Source organism: Homo sapiens, chromosome 17 (genome assembly GCF_000001405.40).
Source record: "Homo sapiens chromosome 17, GRCh38.p14 Primary Assembly".
Classification (NCBI taxonomy): domain Eukaryota; kingdom Metazoa; phylum Chordata; class Mammalia; order Primates; family Hominidae; genus Homo; species Homo sapiens.
In genome coordinates this window covers 19,274,579-19,296,401 of record NC_000017.11, presented here as the reverse complement: position 1 = coordinate 19,296,401, position 21,823 = coordinate 19,274,579, and the positions used below count along the sequence as shown (strand labels likewise).

General features: G+C 48.6%; 1 protein-coding gene across 3 annotated transcripts in view, besides 3 other annotated features; it reads right to left on the bottom strand.

Annotated features, from left to right (window-relative positions):
• EPN2 (epsin 2) overlaps positions 1-21,823 on the bottom strand; it is a 99,350-nt gene that overhangs the window by 40,314 nt on the left and 37,213 nt on the right. The window contains exons 2-4 of one of the 3 annotated variants that reach the window (NM_014964.5): positions 14,325-14,447; positions 12,688-13,452; positions 10,612-10,782 (exon numbers count right to left, since the gene is read on the bottom strand). The exons of 1 other annotated variant lie outside the window; for it this stretch is intronic. In NM_014964.5, coding sequence (NP_055779.2) covers positions 10,612-10,782; positions 12,688-13,282 — 766 coding nt within the window. In that variant the 5' untranslated portion in view covers positions 13,283-13,452; positions 14,325-14,447. The remainder of the gene's footprint in view (positions 1-10,611; positions 10,783-12,687; positions 13,453-14,324; positions 14,448-21,823) is intronic. One more of the 3 variants, NM_148921.4, reaches the window with a different exon arrangement.
• Positions 6,189-6,782: an enhancer, noted in NCBI's record as "H3K27ac-H3K4me1 hESC enhancer chr17:19192933-19193526 (GRCh37/hg19 assembly coordinates)". NCBI's record gives its function as "activates a minimal SCP1, AML or CMV promoter by ChIP-STARR-seq in naive H9 embryonic stem cells {active_cell/tissue: H9 hESC(naive)}" and the evidence as "EXISTENCE:reporter gene assay evidence [ECO:0000049][PMID:30033119]".
• Positions 10,164-10,712: an enhancer, noted in NCBI's record as "H3K27ac-H3K4me1 hESC enhancer chr17:19189003-19189551 (GRCh37/hg19 assembly coordinates)". NCBI's record gives its function as "activates a minimal SCP1, AML or CMV promoter by ChIP-STARR-seq in primed H9 embryonic stem cells {active_cell/tissue: H9 hESC(primed)}" and the evidence as "EXISTENCE:reporter gene assay evidence [ECO:0000049][PMID:30033119]".
• Positions 11,599-11,738: a silencer, noted in NCBI's record as "silent region_8286". NCBI's record gives its function as "represses an Ori minimal core promoter by ATAC-STARR-seq in GM12878 lymphoblastoid cells {active_cell/tissue: GM12878}" and the evidence as "EXISTENCE:reporter gene assay evidence [ECO:0000049][PMID:35858748]".

The window sequence follows — 21,823 nt, the reverse complement described above, 5'->3', positions numbered from 1 at the left end:
AGGTGGGTGGATCACCTGAGGTCAGGAGTTCAAGACCAGCCTGGTCAACATGATGAAACCCCATCTCTACTAAAAATACAAAAATTAGCTGGGCGTGGTGGCACGCACCTGTAGTCCCAGCTACTCGGGAGGCTGAGACATGAGAATTGCTTGAACCTGGGAGGCAGAGGTTGTAGTGAGCCGAGATCACGCCACTGCACTCCAGCCTGGGTGACGGGGTGAGACTCTGTCCCAGTTTAAAAAAAAAAAAATAGAATGAATGACTTCATGCCCTCACTGTACTTGGAGAAGCAGGTCGCAGAGTGGACTTGCGGGAGGAGCTCTGGTTATCCCACTGCAAGCTGGACTAAGCTGGACTAAGCTTTCCATTAGCAGTCAGCAGGAGGAGACTAATTTGATGTGTAATATCAATTTCCAAGCTGCTCCAAGTTGGAGTGTTGCCTAGCTGCCTGTAACTCTGTAAAAAGACACTGCTACGGGCCATGAGTTGAGGGGAGAGGGGAGGAAGAGCCCTTCAACTGATTAAAGCCTGACAGGGAACCAGCAGCCCCCAGCACACTGCTGTCAGTGCCACCGCGGCACCTGGGGCCCTCCCAGAGATTCTAATTTGAGAGGTGTGGGAGAGGTGTGGCCCAGGATTTGGGACATTTTGGGAGATTTAAAAGCTTGAGAGCTAGTGATTTAGGGAAAAAAGGCAACTGTCAAAATGAGGAACTGCCTTGTATCACTAAACAAAAACAACAACTATGAATCATACTGTTGCTAAACTCAACCTTAAAGCATCGAGAAACCACACAAATATATAAGGCATTCCTATATTTCTGGAATTGACTTCAAATGTATTTTTTCTTTTCTTTTCTTTTTTTTCTGAGAGGGAGTTTCACTCTTGTCACCCAGGCTGGAGTCTAATGGCACGATCTCGGCTCACTGCAACCTCCACTTCCTGGGTTAAAGTGATTCTCCTGCCTCAGCCTCCCAGGTAGCTGGGACTACAGGCATGCACCACTACACCTGGCTATTTTGCGCGCACGCGCGTGTGTGTGTGTGTGTGTGTGTGTGTATTTTTAATAGAGATGGGGTTTCACTGCGTTGGCAAGGCTAGTCTCGAACTCCTGCCCTCAGGTGAGGAGAGAGGAGAAGAGAGGCTTATTTAGCACTCATGCATGAAGTATGTTCTGAGCACCTTTCCTGGTTCAGGTGTTGTGCTAAAGACACTAGGGATACAGCACGGGGCATGAACGGGGCTCCTGCTCTAACAGCTTGTTTTAGTGCAGGGAGACAAAACAAAGCAAATAAGAGAATTTCAGGTAGTGAAAAAGACTCTGAAGATAGTAAAAAAGGATATGATACAGAGAGAGATTTAACTTATATGGCCTACTTCCCATGGGAAGACAAATCTATCTGCATGCCTTCCCTCCTGTTTCTAGTCATATAATTTTTTTTTAATGCCTCCTGGAAGTTGTCTATTTGAAACTAGCAACTGCTGTACTGAGCATCCATGAATAAAGACACCGTCAGCAGCTGTGACTATGCTAGCCAATCTGACTTAAAACATCTGACAGGGAACCAGCAGCCCCCAGTACAATGCTGTCAGTGCCACCGCAGTACCTGGGGCCCTCCCAGAGATTCTCATTTGAGAAGTGTGGCAAAGGTGTGGCCCAGGATTTGGGACATTTTGGGAGATTTAAAAGCTTGAGAGCTAGTGATTTAGGGAAAAAAGAAAAGGCAACTGTCAAAATGAGGAACTGCCTTGTATCACTAAACAAAAACTAACAACTATGTATCATACTGTTGCTAAACTCAACCTTAAAGCATCGAGAAACCTTCTACACTTATTGACAGTTTATAAACAATAGTTTGTTTACCTATACTACAAAGGATCCTTAAAAAACAGGTAAATATTGTATTGATCCATTTTCTATGGCACACGCCAATGTCAATCATTTAATCAATAACCCAATCCCCAATATTTTTTTTCTTTTGAGAAAGGGTCTCGCTTTGTCACCCAGGCTAGAATGCAGTGGCACAATCTTGGTTCACTGCAGCCTGGACTTCCTGAGCTCAGGCGATTCCTCCCACCTCAGCCCCACAAAGTAGCTGGGACTACAGGTGCACACCACCATGCCTGGTTAATTTTTTTTTTTTTTGTAGCGATGGGGTTTTGTTGTGTTGTCCAGGCTGGTCTCAAACTCCTAAGCTCAAGCAATTCACCTGCTTCAGCCTCTCGAAGTGCTAGGATTACAGGCATGGGCCACTGCAGCCGGCCTCCCAATCAGCAATTTTGATAGCACTGTTTCTTTTTTTTTTTTTTAAAGACAGAGTCTTGCTCTGTTGCCCAGGCTGGAGTACAGTGGTGCGATCTCAGCTCACTGCAACCTCTGCCTCCCAAGCTTCAAGCAATCTCCTGCCTCAGCTTCCTGGGTAGCTGGGATTACAAGCATCCACCACCACACCCGACTAATTTTTTGTATTTTTGGTAGAGACAGGGGTTTCACCATGTTGGTCAGGCTGGTCTCAAACTCCTGACCTCAAGTGATCCACCAGCCTCGGCCTCCCAAAGTGCTGGGATTATAGGCATGAGCCACCGCGCCCAGCCTTGATAGCACTGTTTCAATTCTGAGAACAATCCCATATTCTGACAATCAGAGGAGCTCCTTAAGATCTGGGGCCCAATTAAATAATGGTTTAATTAGGTATTCCTGGCTGAGTGTGGTGGCTTGTGCCTGCATGCCTGTAATCTCAACACTTTGAGAGGCCGAGGCCAGAGGATAGCTTGAGCCCAGGAGTTCCAGATCAGCCTGGGCAACGTGGCAAAACCCCACCTCTACAAAATACAGAAAGTAAAAAAAAAAAAAAAAAAAAAAAAAGCTGGGTATGGTGGCATGCACCTGTAGTCTCAGCAACCCAGGAGGTTAAGGTGAGAGCATCACTTGAGCCCAGGGAGGTAGAGGCTGCAGTGAGCCACAATCACACCACTGCACTCCAGCCTGAGCAACAGAGCAAGACCCTGTCTTTTTTTTTTTTTTTTTTTGAGATGGAGTTTCGCTCTTGTCACCCAGGCTGGAGTGATCTCGGCTCACTGCAACCTCTGCCTCTCAGGTTCAAGCGAATCTCCCACCTCTGCCTCCTGAGTAGCTGGGATTACAGGTGCCCACCACCATGACCGGCTAATTTTTTTGTATTTTTAGTAGAGATGGGTTTCACCATATTGGCCAAGCTGGCCTCGAACTCCTGGCCTCAGGTGATCTGCCCGTCTCAACCTCCCAACATGCTGGGATTACAGGCGTGAGCCACCCTGCCCAGCCAATCCCATCTTAAAAAGAAAAAAATAATAATACAGAAAAAAGCATTATATAAGATGAACCATATAATTTTAAAATTGTAATAGGTGTACACCGTATTTGCCTATTTTGCAGAAAAAATTTTAAAGCAATTTCAAAAACTGTCAAGTAGAGGAAAGAGAACCAGAGTTCTTCAAAATCCCAGTTCTAATTCTAGCTTCTTCACTTACAAATGAGAGGATTTAGGGGAGCAAGTTCATGTCAGTTTCCTTATTAACCTCATCTGCCCTGCCTACCTTCTAGACAACTGTGAGAAGCAAATGGACTCCTCCTAAGAGAAGGCAAAGGCCCAGGAGAGGTGATCCAGATGCCTTCTGGTTGTGTTGGGCAACTGTCTGACTTTAGCAGCCCAGCCATTCACGAATCACATTCAAATCCCACTTAAAACCCAAGCCCTTGTGGCAAGAACGAGCATCTTTTATACCTGATACTTGGATAGATGTGTCAATAAATCTGCTGCCTCTGAGGGTGTGTTCATGTTACTGATCAGCTTCCTCCATGACTCAATTTTCCACCTGAAGAGATTAACTCTCTCTAGAGTAAGCTAACGCTGACAGCCCTGCTGTGCCTCTGCCCCTGGGACTGACTGCCAGCCGAAGATGCAGGGCTCCCCTGACTTACAGAACACATTTGTTCCACCAAAACAAGATGCCAAATGAGTCTCATCTCCCACCAAATTCCTGGTCCATCCCCAAAACCCAATGGAAGGGCCCTGAGGGCTAGACACACTCCCCACAGGTAGCTATCCCTGGCCTGACACTAGGAAATACCTGGCTGGTGGCCACCAACCACCTCTCAGCCCCGGGCGGGCCCTGCTGCCCTCCTAGTTCCTGGCAGCATCACTCAGCCCTGCACCTTGGAGCTCTGTCACCTCCCACACTCTCAGGAGACCTCAGCTGGCCCAGGATCCTTCCAAGGTCCACCTCAGAAGCACTTCTGACACGCTGGCTGGGTTTGGCTTTTCTTTTTTTTAACAATATATTTTCCCACATCTTTGAGTTTTCAAAAGTAGACCCATGTAGGACTCCCTTTTCAGATGCCTCCTTCTTACCAAAACACTCTCCTTTGTGTGTACATGTCTGGTGTAAGTGCACATGTGTCTGTGTGTGCGCATGCTTCAGCTCTATTCCCAGAGCTGGGCAAGCAGGGCTGAGGCCATGACAACTCTGGTTCACCCCTGAGGTTCCCTTGTTATGAAGACAGCTTCCGTAGAGAGTCCTCTGAGGGCCCACTGTGCCTGGGGACTTCCTGGACATACTCATGAAACAGCGCACAAGAAAGCTTTCAAATTCTACCAAGTCCCCATTGGGTTTAAGAATGAGGCCGGGCGCGATGGCTCACGCCTGTAATTCCAGCACTTTGGGAGGCCGAGGCGGGTGGATCATGAGGTCAGGAGATCAAGACCATCATGGCTAACACGGTGAAACCCCATCTCTACAAAAAACACAAAAAAAAATTAGCCGGGCGCAGTGGCGGGCGCCTGTAGTCCCAGCTACTCAGGAGGCTGAGGCAGGAGAACGGCGTGAACCCAGGAAGCGGAGCTTGCAGTGAGCCAAGATAGCGCCACTGCAGTCCAGCCTGGGCGAAAGAGCGAGACTCCGTCTCAAAAAAAAAAAAAAAAAAAAAAAAAAAATGAATGGCTGATAACCGTGGATAGCCTTGCCATTCCACTCCCTGAGAAATCCTGTTTCCCCTTAGATTCTTGCCAGGCCACTCGAGAGTGGAGGCATGGCCCGAAGGCCTGGCGGACAGCAGCAGCAGCTGTTGGGGTGATGCCGCAGGACAATGATCACGGCCACTGCTCCATGAAGTCCTGGGCAGGCTGCTTGACACTCTGGCCTTCCCAGCTGCACAGTATCAAACCAAATTTGGATCCATCTCTAGCCACTGTATACAATCCTGGCTTTTCTTTCTCACCTCTGTTTTCCTTTTGCCCCAATTTCTTCTGGTATCTATTGAATCCTGTGGCATTGCATGTGTTTTATAAGCCAACTCAAATCCTTTCTAGTAATCACTTGGCAAACCCTTGCCGGGTGGGGTGTGAGAGGAGCAGCCTCAGCACAAGGGGCTCTCAGCCCAGAGGACCAGTAGCCCAAAGGAATCCCTGTCATTTCTCTGGGAGCAGACTTGAAGCATACTACAGCCAGGGCCAGCGGCGTCAGCAAGACAGGAGGGGCCATGAGGAGAGCCAAGAAGACCCGGCTGCAGGCAGCAGCCCCCACCTGGTACAAAGCCCACCACTGCTTACTTTGGTTTCAGAACCCAAGTTGGTTCTGATTCACTTGAGTGAATCAGAAAGCAATGAAGATTTCTATTCTGCCTGCCTTCCTTTTTCTTTTTTTTTCTTTTTTTTTTTTTTTGAGAACGGGAATGCTGGGCAGTTAAACTCCCACCAAGAACTGCAAGGTACCAGGCAACTCGGGACTTGCTCAGGGAGCATCAAGACAGCTGTAGCTCTGGCTCCGCAGACTCAGCAAGGGGGCTGAGAACACCAAGCTGAGCATTCCTTCCTTCCCTTACCCACCCTCAACAGAGGCCAGCCAAGGCAGAAGATCTGGCCCCTGGCCTTAGAGTGTCCTTGGTGAGAGGACAGCAGCAATCTTTCTTTCCATTCCTTGACTCAGGAATGCTTTTCTCATCCCCATCTGCCTCCCTTTGATGTAGGTTCCGTCTACCCCAAGAACTTCTGTAATTTCTCCAAAGCCTTTTGACACTGTGGCCAGTTCTGCAGAACAGAACAGGAAATGGTGGAAAGAGCCCGGGGGGCGGGTAACATGTGGGCTGCTCACCCCCACCAGGTTGCAGTTCAGGCCAGCTGCCATCTCTGCGTGATCTTAGGCAAATCCCTCAACCCCCTGGGCCTGAGGGTCCTCCTTTGGGCTGCGCAGCTTCTGCCCACACACAACTGTCCTGAGCACTGACTACATGCCAGGATCATGTGAGGGCAGCCAACACGGGTAAGCCTTAAGAGGAGCCAGCCTTGGGAGGGCAGCTGGTGTGTCTGAAATTACAAGACCACCAAGTAAACATGAGTGCCAGAGGCTAGGCATGGTGGCTCACGCCTGTAATCCCAGCACTTTGGGAGGCCGAGCTGGGCAGATCACTTGAGGTCAGGGGTTCAAGACCTGGCCAACATGATGAAACCTCATCTCTACTAAAAATACAAAAATTAGCCAGGCATGGTGACATGTGCCTGTAATCCCAGCTACTCAGATGGCTGAGGAAGAATAGCTTGAAGCCAGCTAGGCGGAGGTTGCAGTGAGCCCAGATCACCCCACTACACTCTAGCCTGGCCAACAGAGTGAGACTCCATCTCAAAAAAAAAAAAAAAAAAAACCATGAGCGCCAGGTGAGGCCGAACAGCTGACGGCTATAAGCACTGTCCATGCCCTGACAACTTCCAAAGTGTGCCTGCAGCCCAGAATTCTCCCCCCAACTCCAGACTTCTCAGACCTTCTTGACACCTCCACTTGCGTGTCTAGGAGACACTTCGATGTGTCCTGAACTCAACCCCTCCACTAACCTACTGCACCCACAGCCGCCCTCATCTCAGATGATGGCAGCTCTGCCTCCAGCTGCTCTGCTCCCAGCCCTCAGAGTCATCCTCAGCTCCCCTCTCACTCTGCCCAGTCCTCTAGCAAGGTCTGTCAGGTCATCTTTAAAACATACCCAGAATCGTCCAGGTGCGGTGGCTCACACCTGTAATCCCAGCACTTTGGGAGGCCAAGGTGGGCGGATCACGGGGTCAGGAGATCAAGACCATCCTGGCTAACATGATGAAACCTCATCTCTACTAAAAATACAAAAAATTAGCCGGGCGTGGTGGCGGGCGCCTGTAGTCCCAGCTACTTGGGAGGCTGAGGCAGGAGAATGGCGTGAACCCGGGAGGCAGAGCTTGCAGTAAGCGGAGATCGTGCCACTGCACTCCAGCCTGGGTGACAGTGCAAGATTCTGTCTCAAAAAAAAAAAAAAAAAAAAAAAAAAAACATACCCAGAACCTGGCTACTGCCCAGATTTCTGCAGCCCTGCCAGGTCCAGACCCCCACCATCTCCCACCTGGATGGGGACAGTGGCCTCCTGACCTGGCTCCCTGCTCCCACCTTGCCCATACACACCCCAAGGGATCCTCCTAACCCTCATCTTCCCCCATCTCACTGTGAGTGAAAGTCAAAGAAATTTCTGACATAAACCCAGAAGGCCCAGCACCGGGCCACTGAGTGCATGGTCTGCAAGGTAAGCACAGTGAAAGTGTTTCAAAAGCTCCTAGCAATGACATCGGCACAACATCTAAACATGGACACAAAAGGACCCGTCTGGATGGACTAGGAATTCAAGGAATGCTCCCAACCAGACAGAGTTGAGAGGCCCTGCCCCACACCTCCTCCAGGCCCACCTCTGCCACGCTCCACCCCCACATACTGGCCATGCTCCGTCACTCATCGCCACCTCACTGGCTGCCTTTTCTCAAACACCCTGAGCACACTCCCACCTCAGGGCCTTTGCACAGCTGCCCTTCTGCCTGGAAGGCTCTTTCCAACCTCCACAAGGCTCACCCTCACACTCCTTCAATCCTTGATCCATTCATACTGCAAGCCACCCTCTCTTACCTCCCCAAAGACACTCAAGCAAGACTGTTTTTGTTTTGCTGTTTTCCAGAGCGCTCATTACATAACATGCTGAATAATTTATATTGTGTTTTTCTTTCCCATTACCATATAAGCTCCACGAGGGCAAGGGGCTCTGTTCTGTGCTCAGTGCCTGGTGCCCCATGGGAACTCAATAAATACAGAGCAGAGGGCAGGTAGACCAGGCTTCAAAAGGAAAGCCCAGAGCTGTGCCTGCAGGCAGACGTCAGCAGGCCTGGGAAGGTCTGGAATGCTTCCGCCGGAACAGGAGGACCCCCAGACTGAGGGCAGGGGACACAGCTGGTGGAAGCAACTGAGGTCTGCAACGTCAAAGGCTCTGGGATGGCCCTGCAGGGCCTGGCATCTAAAGGGGCTGAGACTCAGGACCAGGGCATCCTTTATGAAGATGGAGGGTAGGTGAGACTGGGAGATAATGACAGCAGGAAATTGGTCAGAAGGCTGGCACTGAATTGAGGCCATGGAACAAGATGGACAATTCAAGAGACTTCCAAGGTCAGATCTACAGATCTATGTGGGAGGTGAGAGAGAGGGAGGGGCACAGGGAGGATGAGATGACATATGGCACATGAAAGAAAGCTCTCCTCAGACATCCTCATGATTATCGCCAGTCACACAAGAGGCCTTCCCGGCTGTGGCTGCTCTCATGTGAAGAGGGCTTCTGAGCAGTCTGCCTCCTCTGCCTCTGTGGGGTCTGCAGTCCCAAATGCACCCCTCACAAACATCTCTCCTGAATCACAGCCTGCATCTCACCTGACAGTTTTCTGAATGGCCGGCATCATTCTGACCTTCCCACTGCTGATTTCCAAGAAGGTGTGCTCCAAACAAATCCACTGGTGTGCATAGATTAAGCACTTACCTTATACTCAACCCTTTGTGAAGCATCAAGAAAGAACAGAGAAGAAACATGGCCAGAATCTTTGCCCTGGACTCCGACAGCCCCCTACCCTCTGACGGGGAGGGAGTGAGATGTGGAGAGGATGCCACACCCAACAGTTAAAGGATGAAATGCAATCCATATAACACTTGTTTGCTCAAAACTCATCTGGGGCATGAGAAATCTTCAAAGAAAAAAATACTCATTTTTATCTTCAACTCCTATCAGGGCTGAAGGACAACATAAATCCACACGGGGTGGATACCTTAAGCAACTTGCCAGGTTGGGGGAACAGGGGGCAGGTGGTGGGAGCGATATCCAAGCAGAGAGAACGGAATGGCACAGGCGAAGGTGCAGAGGCAGGGCCAAAGACAGCCGCAGTGGGGGAAGATGGCCAGCCTGCAGGCCTGCCAGGCTGTATTTAACATGCAAACGTCCCAGGAAAGCCAGTTTGCCAGCGGGAGAGCTAGAGGGCCAGGGTAACACAAAATTGGCCACCAAGGCTCAAAACAGACCTTGTCAGTTACCAAATGGGTAGAACATGGGAAAAACAAAAAGGGAACTCCATGGAGAGTTCCGCGGGACCTGCTGAGAACAGCAGCCTCTGACTATCTGGGGGGGTGAAATGGGCATGTAACTCCAATGCCTCTGGGTGACCCTTTAACGAATGCTTTTATCATTTACATTCTTTACAGTGCAGAGCTGGCCTTCCTTACGTTTTCTAATGTCAGTTTAGAAGAAGCCAAAATCCTGTATAAACTGTTAGGGGAAAACAGGGACATGAAGGAAAATATCCTAGAGTTAAATATAGTTATTACACAAATACCCAAGTCAAACAAGCTGTAATATTAATGAGGCATGAATGAACTGTAACTGTTTCCAGGGCTGAATAAAGGCTGGTCACCTTATCAGGGAAGTCGCACAAAAGCTCTCTGTCGTGCCCCTTCTTGTAAGAAGAGTAGAAGAGAACAGACACCTTTCTTCCCTGTAGCAGAGAACCCACTTGGGACCAATGGTAGACTGAGAGCATTTTCTTGTAGGAAACAGTGAAAATCTGTTTTCAGTTTAACCTGCTACAGTTGTAAGGCTCTGATCAGGATACATTATTAATTAGTAGAAAGAGAAGCCCCATTTTTAGTTACCCATTGAATTAGGTATCTTCAAACACCGTGACCTAGAATTGACAGTACAGCTAACTCTCTGTTTTCCATGGTAACAGGGATTTCAGGAAGAACAGCAGTTAATTGGGAAGCAAAAAAAAAATCCCATTTTATTCAGGGCAAGGCATACATTACTGCATTAAGGATAATGGCTTCCAATGACCATCACTGAGGATCTTATATTTGTCTGGTGTTGTGAGGTTTAAATCACACATTTCCGGTCCAACAAGCCAAGTTGTCTGACCCACCACCATGGGTGGGCCTGATAGGTGGCAGAGCCCCCTCCAGTTTGTCAGGGAATGGGAGCATGGGGAGAGCATGGGCCATCACCCCATGCCTTACCCAAAGAACAGCTCCCCTGCTAAACCTTTGACAGAACTTCTAGCAAGTGACATGTGATCCTGGAAGCGGAGCACGACCAGGCCACAAGCTCCCAGGAGAGAGGAAGAAAGGGCTCCTGGGCCTGCTGGAGGCCAAACCCCCAGGCCCAGAGGAGACAGGGAGAGAGTTGGCTGTACTGGCATGGCAAGCACACCCCCAGCAAGCTGCCCAGCATTTCTAGTAAGGAAAAAAGCAAACCGCCGTCCCACCTCGGGCTGCGCGGTCACAAGTGAGGCAGGGCTGGGACCAGTCGCCATTTGGGCGGGAGGCCAGCCCCAGGTGCGGCAGGAAGGGGTGGCGCTGGCTCAGTGGCTGCAGCTCCTCACTCTGACCCAGCGGGGCCCCTGTGCGGTGCTGGGGGCACAGCGAGGCCTCAGGCGCTGTGGGGCAGGGACACACACACACACACAGAGAGACACGCCATTAGAGGGTGCGCAGCAGCCCCTGCAGGAGGTACGGGCCAAGGCCACTCGGGGTCAACCCCGCAGCCCACTGCGGTGGAAGCTGTGAAAAGCCCACTGACCACATTCTGACCCTGAACATGCAGCTCAAGCGTAAGGTCTGAGGGAACCAAAAACATCACAGCTGGAACTGCAGCAGTATCATTTAGCCCAGCAGGACCTATGGCTACAGGCCCTGGACTCGGTATGAGGAGGAGGGGTGGATCAAACCAGGCTCCTGCATCCCCACTGTTCCAACCCCTGCATCTGCAAAGTTCCACAAATTGTTCATGGAACATGAAGCTGTTTCAGCTCCTTGCTTAGCATCCTCTGGCTTCTTGAGAATAATGACCATGAAAAGCACATAAAGAGAATGGCAGCTCCCCTTGGCCTGCATCAAAGCCACAGCCACAGTCACAGGGACAGAGGAAGTCAAGGCAGGTTGGGACCAACTCAATCCAAAGAGAGCCTCTCTGGGGGTTGGTAAGAGGATCCTTGAGAGAAATAAAACAATTTCACTTCTTAAAGGGCAATCTTCATTTGTTTTGGTGCAATTTAACCCTGCATTGAGGCTTCTGGAGATTAAGGTTAAATTGTTTTCAAGTGGTTTAACCAAGGTCACAACCTTTGCTTAAGCAAAACAGTTCAAACTAAGAAGAAAAATGACAACTACATATGGGACAAGAATATGTTAACCTGCTCCAAGCTCGGTAATAATTCAGAATTCCTAGAAGCAGGAAATCTGACTTTAATATGCAAATCTCTCATTTAACACATTTCTCAAAATGCTAGTGGTGGCGGTACAATGTCAAATCGAAACCTGCAAAAGCAGGAAATGTTAGTAAATGGTCTGGTAACAGAACACTGACTAAGTAAGGGTTGACTGAGGTCTGTCAAACTACAGACAACTTCCTTTAAAAAGAAGTTTTCTGCTATGCTGACATAGTGTTACTAGGGATCTGCACTTTTGTTTTAGCAGCCAGAAGATATAATTTCTACAATCCCCACCTCCATCCTCACCCTGTCCCCCAAAGGCCACTAGGGCCACCTGTCTCTCTGAGTGTGGGGTCCACACTGTGGCTGGAATAGCACTGTGAAAATGGAGAAACACCTGTTGGGGGACCACTTCCAATGAACAGCCAGGATGCCAATGTGACTCACAGAGACCAGCTTCCATCAGGCCCTGAACTCCACTCTGTTCCCTGAAACCTCTTCTGACCATAAGGCAAAGACCCAAATTAATCCAACATGCAAAACCAGAACTCAATGCAGACCCAGCCATGCAACCAGATCACTAGCAACTCTCATTTGCATGTTTGGCAGGGAGGCCTTGTTCACACTAGCAACCTGTACAAGTTTTTTTGCTGAAGTAGAATAATACTGAGCCATTCAAGAGACCTGAAGCTCAGTCAGCAGAAAAACACTTAATATGAGATTAAAGAAACAAGATTATCAAGAAAGAGCATTTGTTTCCTCCTGGCTACCAGAGTCAACTCCCCATTGTATGTGCAGCAGGACAACTCCTTTGCTGCCAGACCCATTCTGACAAGGAAGCAGAAAAGACCTGCCTCTGCCCACCGTCTGCCCAGATGTACAGAATGAGGCCCAGAGCAGCAAAGGGCGTTAGAGATCCCTGAACCAGAGCAGCCAAGGGACTAAAAGTCCCTTTATAACCAAAACTCAATCCAGACCAAGGACAATTTGCCTGGGCCACCAAAAGCTGGGTACTGAGGACAGGTTCGAGCTCTGCAGTGGCCACCACTCCCTAAGCCCAGAGACACCCACCCTGCCTGTCACCCATTGCTGCTGCTCTGGCAAAGGGTGAGAAGCACTTCCATTACTCACAGCCATGGTAGGAGGCCGGGGAGCCCCCGGCCTTGCCATACTCCTGCTCCGAGTGGCTGGTGGAGAGGTTGGGCTGGCTGGAGCCTCGCCCAAAGGTGATCTGGTTGCTGCCCATGCCAGTGGCAACCTGGGCCATGCGCTCTTTGGTTTTGAGAGCCTGGGCCCTCTCAGCCTTCAACCGTTCCTCGTCCTTGAGGAGAGCCACCAGTTGCTTTGACTTCTCACGCACATTGATGCCCTGGTCCTTGCCATCTCGGTCAATGTACTGGAAGTCCTTCAGGGTCTGGATGGCGAAGATGTTCTCCCGGCACTGCTGGGCCACACGTTCGGAGCCTGTCTTGATGAGGTAGTCCAGCAGGGTCAGCGCCTTGTACACATGCCGCCAGTTCTTGCCATGGTCATTCAGCCGCTTCCACACCATGCTCATGATCTCCGAGAAGGCCACCACGTTGTAGGTCAGGTCGGCAATCTCGGTCATCAGAGAACTGGACGGGCCCCACGGGTCATTGGAGGTGGCTTCCCGGACTTTGATTTCTGCCTCTGAGTAATTGTTCACGATGTTTTTCATCTGCCGTCTGATAGACGAAGTCGTCATTTTTATTTTCTTTGTTATAAGTTTAAAGCCCTTCAAACAGAGAAACCTTCCTGTCCTTGGTAAGTGCGCACCCTATGAAGGTTCAGTCTCCGTAATCAAGCTGGAGTAAGATCCCTGAATGGTCATTTCCTCCTTTGGAGCCTCAGATTCGAAAAGCTGGAAGCCATGACCTAGAGAAAGAGAAAACCCATTCCACTGCGACGTAAGCCCCCTGTGAGGGTGGGAGACTGTGGTCCAGCAGCAGGTACTGGGTAAAACTGGGGAGCTGAGTGGACATACCCAGCCTCCTTAGGACGAACCCAAGATAAAATCAATATCACCAGTCAACAATGAATAAAACTTACACTCAAGTTTAAGCCTTTAGGAGAAAAGAAGTAAACATCATGACTATTGCTCTATTTTCAAAACACTTCCACTGGAATGGCTATTTTATGGGTTGTCTTTTCACTGCCTGGCAAAAGCCAGCTGTGGAAGAATCGGAAACACTGGGGGAAGCTGATCTTGGCAGATTTAAAATTACATGTGAGACCAGATATGGTGGCTCACACCTGTAATCCCAGCACTTTGCGAAGCTGAAATGGGAGGATTACTTGAGGCCAGCCTGGTCAAAACAGCAATACCCCCATCTCTATTTTTTTAAAGTTTATTTAAATAAAAAAAAATACACATGAGGACAAGAAAGAGACTAATTTCAGGTCTATCTTAACTCAAAAATGCCTGTCAATACCTTCAAAACTGCTTTGGTCCACTGTGTTTCCGAATGTCCAGAAAATTCTCCTTGACAACCACTTTTCGCCTGACCTTCCCTGTTCAAGAATTTATAAAGATTCCTAACAGCAATTCTAGAAAAAGGATAAAGACCTCCACTTGGCTTTCAGAAGCCTCCAGCATCTGGCCCAAGCTAATACAGCCTTAAAACTAATCTGGTTATAGCCCAGCCCCTCATTTCACAAAGAAAACTGAGACCCCTGGCTATCTATTAACTCGCTCCAACCAAACACATCATCTATCCCCTCTCTTCCTCCAGATAACACTCACTTACCAGGCTACAGTGAGGTCCACGTCTCTGATATGAGGCTCCTGTCCACAAGTTTGGTAACCTTCATCTGCCTCATCACCAGTGAGCACCCAGCACTTAGCACTGTGCCCGACACAGAAATGAACACTGTTAAATAAATGAATGTTACAGATTAAAAACAGAGTCCCTGCCCTCAAGAAGGCCACAGTCTGGCAGGGGATGAAGGTTCCTTACCTATAAAATGGGAAAACTGAGGCCCTAGAAGTCTCCAGGGATTGCCCCAGGTAGATTAGGACAGCTAGGGCCCGGATAGGAAGCAAGGGGCTCCACCCACCATTCTGACCACCTGCTTGGCTGTCCACCCCCCACCCTCAAACCCTCAGAGGAAGGATTATTTTTCCCACTACACAAGTGAGGAACCGAAGCCTGGAATCACACGGTCAGCTGACTAAGGTCACTCCAGGCCCAGAACCTGCGCCTCCCTTTCTTCCTGTGGTGGTCTTTACTCTCAAGATGTTTCTGCCACAGAAACAACAGGTAGCTCCTACCTTCCTCATCTAAAGCCTCAGATGGGTAATGGGCACATCAAAAAAACAAGCAAGTAAACAAAAGGTGGCAGAAGCAAGGAAAAGCCACAGGAAATGCAATGACTACTCATCACAAACAATCACACAAAAAGAAGGGTTTGCTATTGTGAAATATGTATTTGGTCTTCATCCCGGGCACTTGGCAGGGATTCCAAACCTAAAATCCTCGGAATCTCCACAGTGATGTCTTTTTGCATGTGAATGATTGACTGAGGGCTGGCAGTCCCTAGGCAGCTTCAGGATGGGGCTGGTTACCAGAAAGACCAAGGCAGGATCAGTCCCGGTAAGGGGAGATGGACTGAAGATTAGGTTTATCACCAATGGCCAATCATTTAGTCAATCATGTCTCCATAATGAAGCCTCCATAAAAAGACATAAGGACAGGCTCAGGAAGCTTCTGGATGGCTGAACACACAAAGGTTCCTGAACGGTGGCACTGAGGTATGGCATGGAAGCTCTGCACTCCTTCTCCCACACCTGGCCTATGCATCTCTTCATCTGTATCCTTTGCAATATCCTTTATAATAAATAGGTAAATATAAGTCAATTTCGCTGAGTTATGTGAGCCACTCTACCGAATTAATTGAACCCAAAGAAGGGGTCTCAACTTGAAGCTGGTTGGTCAGAAGTTCCAGAGGCGTGGACTTGCACTGCTGGGAAGAAGGGAGTGTTCTTGTGGGACTGAGCCCTCAACATATGGGATCTGAAGCTATCTCCAGGTAAATATCAGAGTTGAACTGAAGGACACCTAGCTGGTGTCCTGCAAAACTGACTGCTTGCTTGTTACGTGGGGAGAAAGTTACAGAAGTTATCTGTATTGATTGCTGTTAAGTGAGAAAATAGGAAAAAGCACTTTGTATGATTTTTCCACACACAAAAAGGGGACAGCTCATAAAATTTCACCCTGGTAATAACCCATACATCTGCTCTGGCCAAGGAGGCCTTCTCTCCATCCTCAAATATGTCAAGGAATCTGACTCTATCTGAAGCCACAGAACAGGGCTTCAGCTAAAAGCAGGCATATTCTGCAAAGGCTGTGAAAGGACCAGGGATAAAAACTTTTGCACGGTGACCTGCACATTTGATGTAATTAGGTTTTTCATTCATGATGCAACATTCACTGCTGGCAAAGATACGATGGGCCTCACAAAGAAAAAGAACACTTTAATTTTTAATGAATATTTCCCAGCTTAAAGGGCAAATATGTGTCAAAATCAATAGTAATGTTCAGAGGTACTTAATGTTCAGGAGCCTTACAATGTGCCAGGGACCACCAGGCCCTTCAATTTGTTGTTCCATTTGATGTAGAGCAGGTATGACTCTTCAGCTTCTCAGAGAAGTGGGCAGAGCTAGGATTCACCACTGACAAAGACTTTGGCTGGGCATGGTGGCTCACACCTGTAATCCTAGCACTTTGGGAGGCCCAGGCAGGTAGACTGCCTGAGCTCAGGAGTTCAAGACCAGCCTGGGCAACATGGCAAAACCCTGTCTCTACTAAAAATACAAAAAATTACCTGAGTGTGGTGGTACACACCTGTAATCCCAGCTTACTCAGGAGGCTGAGGCACGAGAACTGCTTGAGCCCGAGAGGTGGAGGTTGTAGTGAGCCAAGATTGCGCCACTGCACTCCAGCCTGGGCGATAGAGTGAGACCCTGTCTCAAAAAAAAAAAAAAGAAAAGAAAAGTAAAGAAAAAAAAGAGGACTTTGGCCACCTCCTTCCCAGTAAAATGGTCTCAAATGGTTGAGAATGTCCTAAGAAAAAAAAAAGGAACACTTTCCTGCAGGGTGCGGTGGCTCACGCCTGTAATCCCAGCACTTTGGGAGGCTGAGGCAGGTGGATCACAAGGTCAGGAGATCAAGACCATCCTGTGAATGGTGAAACCCCGTCTCTACTAAAAATACAAAAAATTAGCCAGGCATAGTGGCGGGCGCCTGTAGTCCCAGCTACTTGGGAGGCTGAGGTGGGAGAATGGCGTGAACCCGGGAGGCAGAGCTTGCAGTGAGCTGAGATTGCGCCACTGCACTCCAGCCTGGGTGACACAGTGAGACTCTGTCTCAAAAAAAAAAAACAAAAAAAGGAACACTTTCCTAAGTGAGAAACAATGCTCTGGGCTCTGCTGCCCTCCCCCATCTGGTGACCTTGTGGGTGGAAGCAGAAGACCTCCAGCTGGGCCTAGTGTCCTCCCAGGGAGGCTGTGAGGCCCAGCCAGGGCTCCCAATGAGCCTCCTAGACCTTTGGCAGCAAAGAAAAGGCAGTGATTCCTGTGAGCAAGGGCCAAGGTGCCGCTGCCCTCCCAGACATAAGCTGGGAAAGGAACTCCAAACAATTAAGAAACAGGGGCTGTTGACCAAGGCAGGGGCTTTCTCTAACAGACTAACTTGCAAGGACATCTGCTGATGGTCTCTGAAATACTTAAACTTCAGGAAAAAGGAAAAAGCTAATAAAATAATAAAATACTGGTTATAGTAAAAAAAAACGAAATAAGGCCTATATAATTTGCATGGCTGCCTGCTATTTTCTTGAAGTTTATAGACAGGAGCAGCTTTCGAAATCCTCACTAAGAAATCCTCACTAGGGGCCGGGCACGGTGGTTCATGACTGTAATCCCAGCACTCTGGGAGGCCGATGTGGGAGGATCACTTGAGGCCAGGAGTTCAGCAATAGCTTGGCCAACAGGGCAAAACCCTAATATAAAAATTAGCCAGGCATGGTGGTGCACACCTGGAATCCCAGCTACCTGGGTAGCTGAGGCATGAGAATCGCTTCAACCCAGGAGGCAGAGGTTGGAGTGAGCTGAGATGGCACCACTGCTCTCCAGCCTGGGTGACAGAGCAAGACTCTGTCTCAAAAGAGAAAAACCAAAAGAAATCTTCATGACATGGTTTGGTTGTGTCCCCACCCAAATCTCAACTTGAATTGTGTCTCCCAGAATTCCCACGTGTTGTGGAAGGGACCCGGGAGAGGTAATTGAATTATGCGGGCCAGTCTTTCCCATGCTATTCCTGTGATAGTGAGTAAGTCTCATGAGATCTGATGGGTTTATCAGGGGTTTGCATTTTTGCTTCTTCCTCATTTTTCTCTTGTTGCTGCCATGTAAGAAGTGCCTTTCACCTCCTGCCATAATTCTGAGGCCTCTCCAGGCATGTGGAACTGTAAGTCCAATTAAACCTCCTTTTCTTCCCAGTCTCGGGTATGTCTTTATCAGTAGTGTGAAAACAGACTAATACACCTCACTAGGACCAGGTGTGGTGGCTCATGTCTGTAATCCCAGCACTTTGGGAAGCCGAGGCGGGCAGATCACTTGAGCTCAGGAGTTCAAGACCAACCTGGGCAACATGGCGAGACCCCGTCTCTAAAAATAAATAAATAAACAAACAAATAAATAATCCTCACTAGGAGAAAAGTCACTGGAGGCTTTTCATTTTCTTTTTTTTTTTTTTTGAGACATAGTCTCGCTCTGTCGCCCAGGCTGGTGCAGTGGTGTGATCTCGGCTCACTGCAAGCTCCGCCTCCCAGGTTCACACCATTCTTCCTGCCTCAGCCTCCTGAGTAGCTGGGACTACAGGCACCCACCACCACGCCCAGCTAATTTTTTTGTATTTTTAGTGGAGACGAGGTTTCACCGTGTTAGCCAGGATGGTCTCGATCTCCTGACCTCGTGATCCGCCCACCCTGGCCTCCCAGAGTGCTGGGATTACAGGCGTGAGCCACCGCGCCCGGCCAAAGCTTTTCATTTTCCAGGCCAACTGGACTACGCACCTCACCTAAGCGAGACTTTGGAGGCTGAAACTAATTATTCCAACCGTGAGACAGCCCATGATGCGTGGGCCATGAAGCAGGACTCCAGCAGTGCCAGTGGGCACAAAGCTCCAGCTATTCCAGCTGAACACCTGGACTTCCAATACTTTGACACACTTGACCTTGTACACCTCAGGTCCCCATTTTTCACTGTTTCCCCTCAACCACAGGACAGCCTGTAAACATTTAAACATCTTCTCTCCCAGCAAACATCTGCCATGAGTCCATCCCAAGAGCAAGCTCCAAGCTCCAAACATATACCACCCTCCACGGCAAATCCTGTTATTTCTCTCTTTTTTTTTTTTTTTTTTTTTGAGACAGAGTCTCACCCTTTTGCCCAGGCTGGAGTGCCGTGGTGCAATCTCGGCTCACTGCAACCTCTGCCTCTCAGGTTCATGTGATCCTGGCACCTCAGCCACCCAAGTAGCTGGGATTATAGGCACCTGCCACCTCACCCAGCTAAGTTCTGTGTTTTTAGTAGAGATGGGGTTTCAACATTTTGGCCAGGCTGGTCTCGGACTCCTGACCTCAAGTGATCCACCCGCCTCGGCCTCCCAAACTGCTGAGATGACAGGCGTGAGCCACCGTGCCCGGGCACATTCTGTTATTTCTAGAATCTGAGTTTTGTTTTCTTCTCCCTCTTTTTCGCATAGTTTGCACGCTCCACTTTCCTTCTCAATTTTCCAATTTTCTTGTTTCCAGCTTGCTGAGACTGAACTAATGCACATGCAAATGCAACTAAAACAGGATCATTTGTTACCTTCTGGGCTCCTCACTCAAACCTGAGGAAGTGTGTGATCAGCTCACAATAATTTCTTATGAACCTCTACACCAGATATGGATGTTAGAGGTGGAGGTGGGAGGGTTGTCAAAACAAGGAAAAACAGTATTAAACTCTGTTAAAAGTTTAGACCCAATACAGCAAAAAAAAAAAAAAAAAACTTATTCTCATAAATTACATACTGACAATTGAAAGGATCCTCAGTAACTAGAAACACCTTTAGAAATCCAGTTCTATCATCATATCATCAGTTATTACCTAGAACTATTTGATGCTAATTGATAAATAAAGTACATGAACTTGTACAATTCTGTCAAAACTTGAAATATTTTTAAATGAAGACAGCAAGGTGTAAAGTGAGATTCATTATTCAAGGCAAACAAACCTTTCTGTACCTTCCAAGAGAGCTGTCACAGGAATAGGGCCAGGTGCAGTGGCTCACGCCTATAATCCCAGCACTTCGGGAGGCCAAGGCAGGAGGATCACTTGAGCCCAGGAGTTCAAGACCAGCCTGGACAACATGGTGAGACCTCATTTCTACAAAAAAAAAAAAAAAAAAAAAAAAAAAAAAAATTTTAATTAGCTGGGCATGGTGGTGCACATCTGCAGTCCCAGCTACTCAGGAGACTGAGATGGGAGAATCCCTTGAGCCCAGGAGATGGAGGCTACAGTGGACCATGATAATGCCACTGCACTCCAGCCTGGGTGAAAGAGCAACTTTGTCTCAAAAAAACGGCTGAGCAGGCCCACAGAATGGCCACTTTATTTGCAGGAAGAGATGACCAGGCAGAAGCTCCTGGCCACCACCCCACCAGCCACACCTTCCCCACTCCAGCCCTAGCCCTAAAAACCTGTTTTGAAATTGTATTAATTAATAATTCATTTTACTAAGAAATCAGGGTGCTGACACATGTTAGATAACAATTGTTAACCACACAGTGTCAATAAATTCCAACCAACAGCAAAGAAACTGAATGCTTGAGGTGGCCTGGGGAAGTAGCACCATGAGCAATGCAGAAATTGTCAGGCCTTCTGAAATGCCCTGGGAGCTCCAGAGCCTCCACGTAAAAAGCCATATCTATTCAATATGAAAGCGAATACTCACTTTTCTACAGTTAGTCCCCAGAACTAGGTAAGGTTCTTTAAACCAAATAATATTTCATTTCCATTCTGAAAACTGAATCATTGGTTTTGCCTATGTAACAACCATAATCCCCCTCTTCTTGGAAAGAGTACTTCAGTCATCCTTGGGAAACTGGCCAGGAGTAGGCCCAGGACTCAGACCAGGCCAATCAAAGCCCCACAGTTCCCCCGCCCAGCAGCTACATCAGTGATATGTTAAGAATCCAGACTGGACCACCTGTAGACCCCTCTGGATGGTTCCTAAAACTTCTGGGAAACCAGCAGGGTTGCTAAGCTGCTGGAACACACCACAGGGGCAGAGTCAGAGTTTACCTATGATTGAAGCAGCCACAGAAGAAAGCAAGAAGCCAAGGAAAGGAGAAGGCACAAGACATAACAACACGTGGTCTGCACCTCTATGTCTACCTGTGCATGAAGCCATTTATTCCCTGAAATTCTCATGCTGTAACCTACAGCAATGTGTGCTTTTGATCCCTGCAACTGCAAACCCTGTGCACAAAGCACCTGAGAGAACCAGAGGTAGAAAGGCAACAACAGCCAAACAACAAAAGGACAGAGCATGGGCGCTCCCCTGAACCTCCAACAGGGCCTCAAGTAGGAGTGCAGAGACATCAGTCAGGCTCCCCCCAGCCACAGTTGACCCACAACCCAAGACTGACCAAGGAAGAACTGCATCCTCCCCAGGAGGGCTCGGCACTCCCTGTGAAGGAGGCAACCCCAACCAAAGTCTGGGATCATCTGCTCTTTTTTGAGAGTGACTCATGACGGGAACCACAAAATAACAGCTAGATCCCCATACATGCAGGGGACAAGCTGGGGGAGAATTTTCTGGTAAACTTGAAAACACAGTCAGAATTCAAATGAGAGTAGAGACTGAAAAGAGACTAAACAAAACAGCAAACAGAACAAAACTGGAAAAAAAAATTTCCAAGGCTAGGGTTATGCCCCAGGAGGCAAGAAGTATTCCATAAAAATGTGCTCTGAAGGCTTGAGATGCTGGGTGGGGAAATTCTTTCCAAATCTAGAGTTCCCCATCATGGGAGACAGAGGCTTTTCACAGTTCCAAGCAGTGCAGGTGGGCCTGTGGTGAAGGCACACATCTCTACACCCCGTGCCTCTGTGCCACCAAGGTGTGGCTGATCGTGTGCTGAGAGGAGGATGTTCACCTTTCAGCTGGGGTCTACATCAAGTCCCTAAGGAAACTATGGGGAG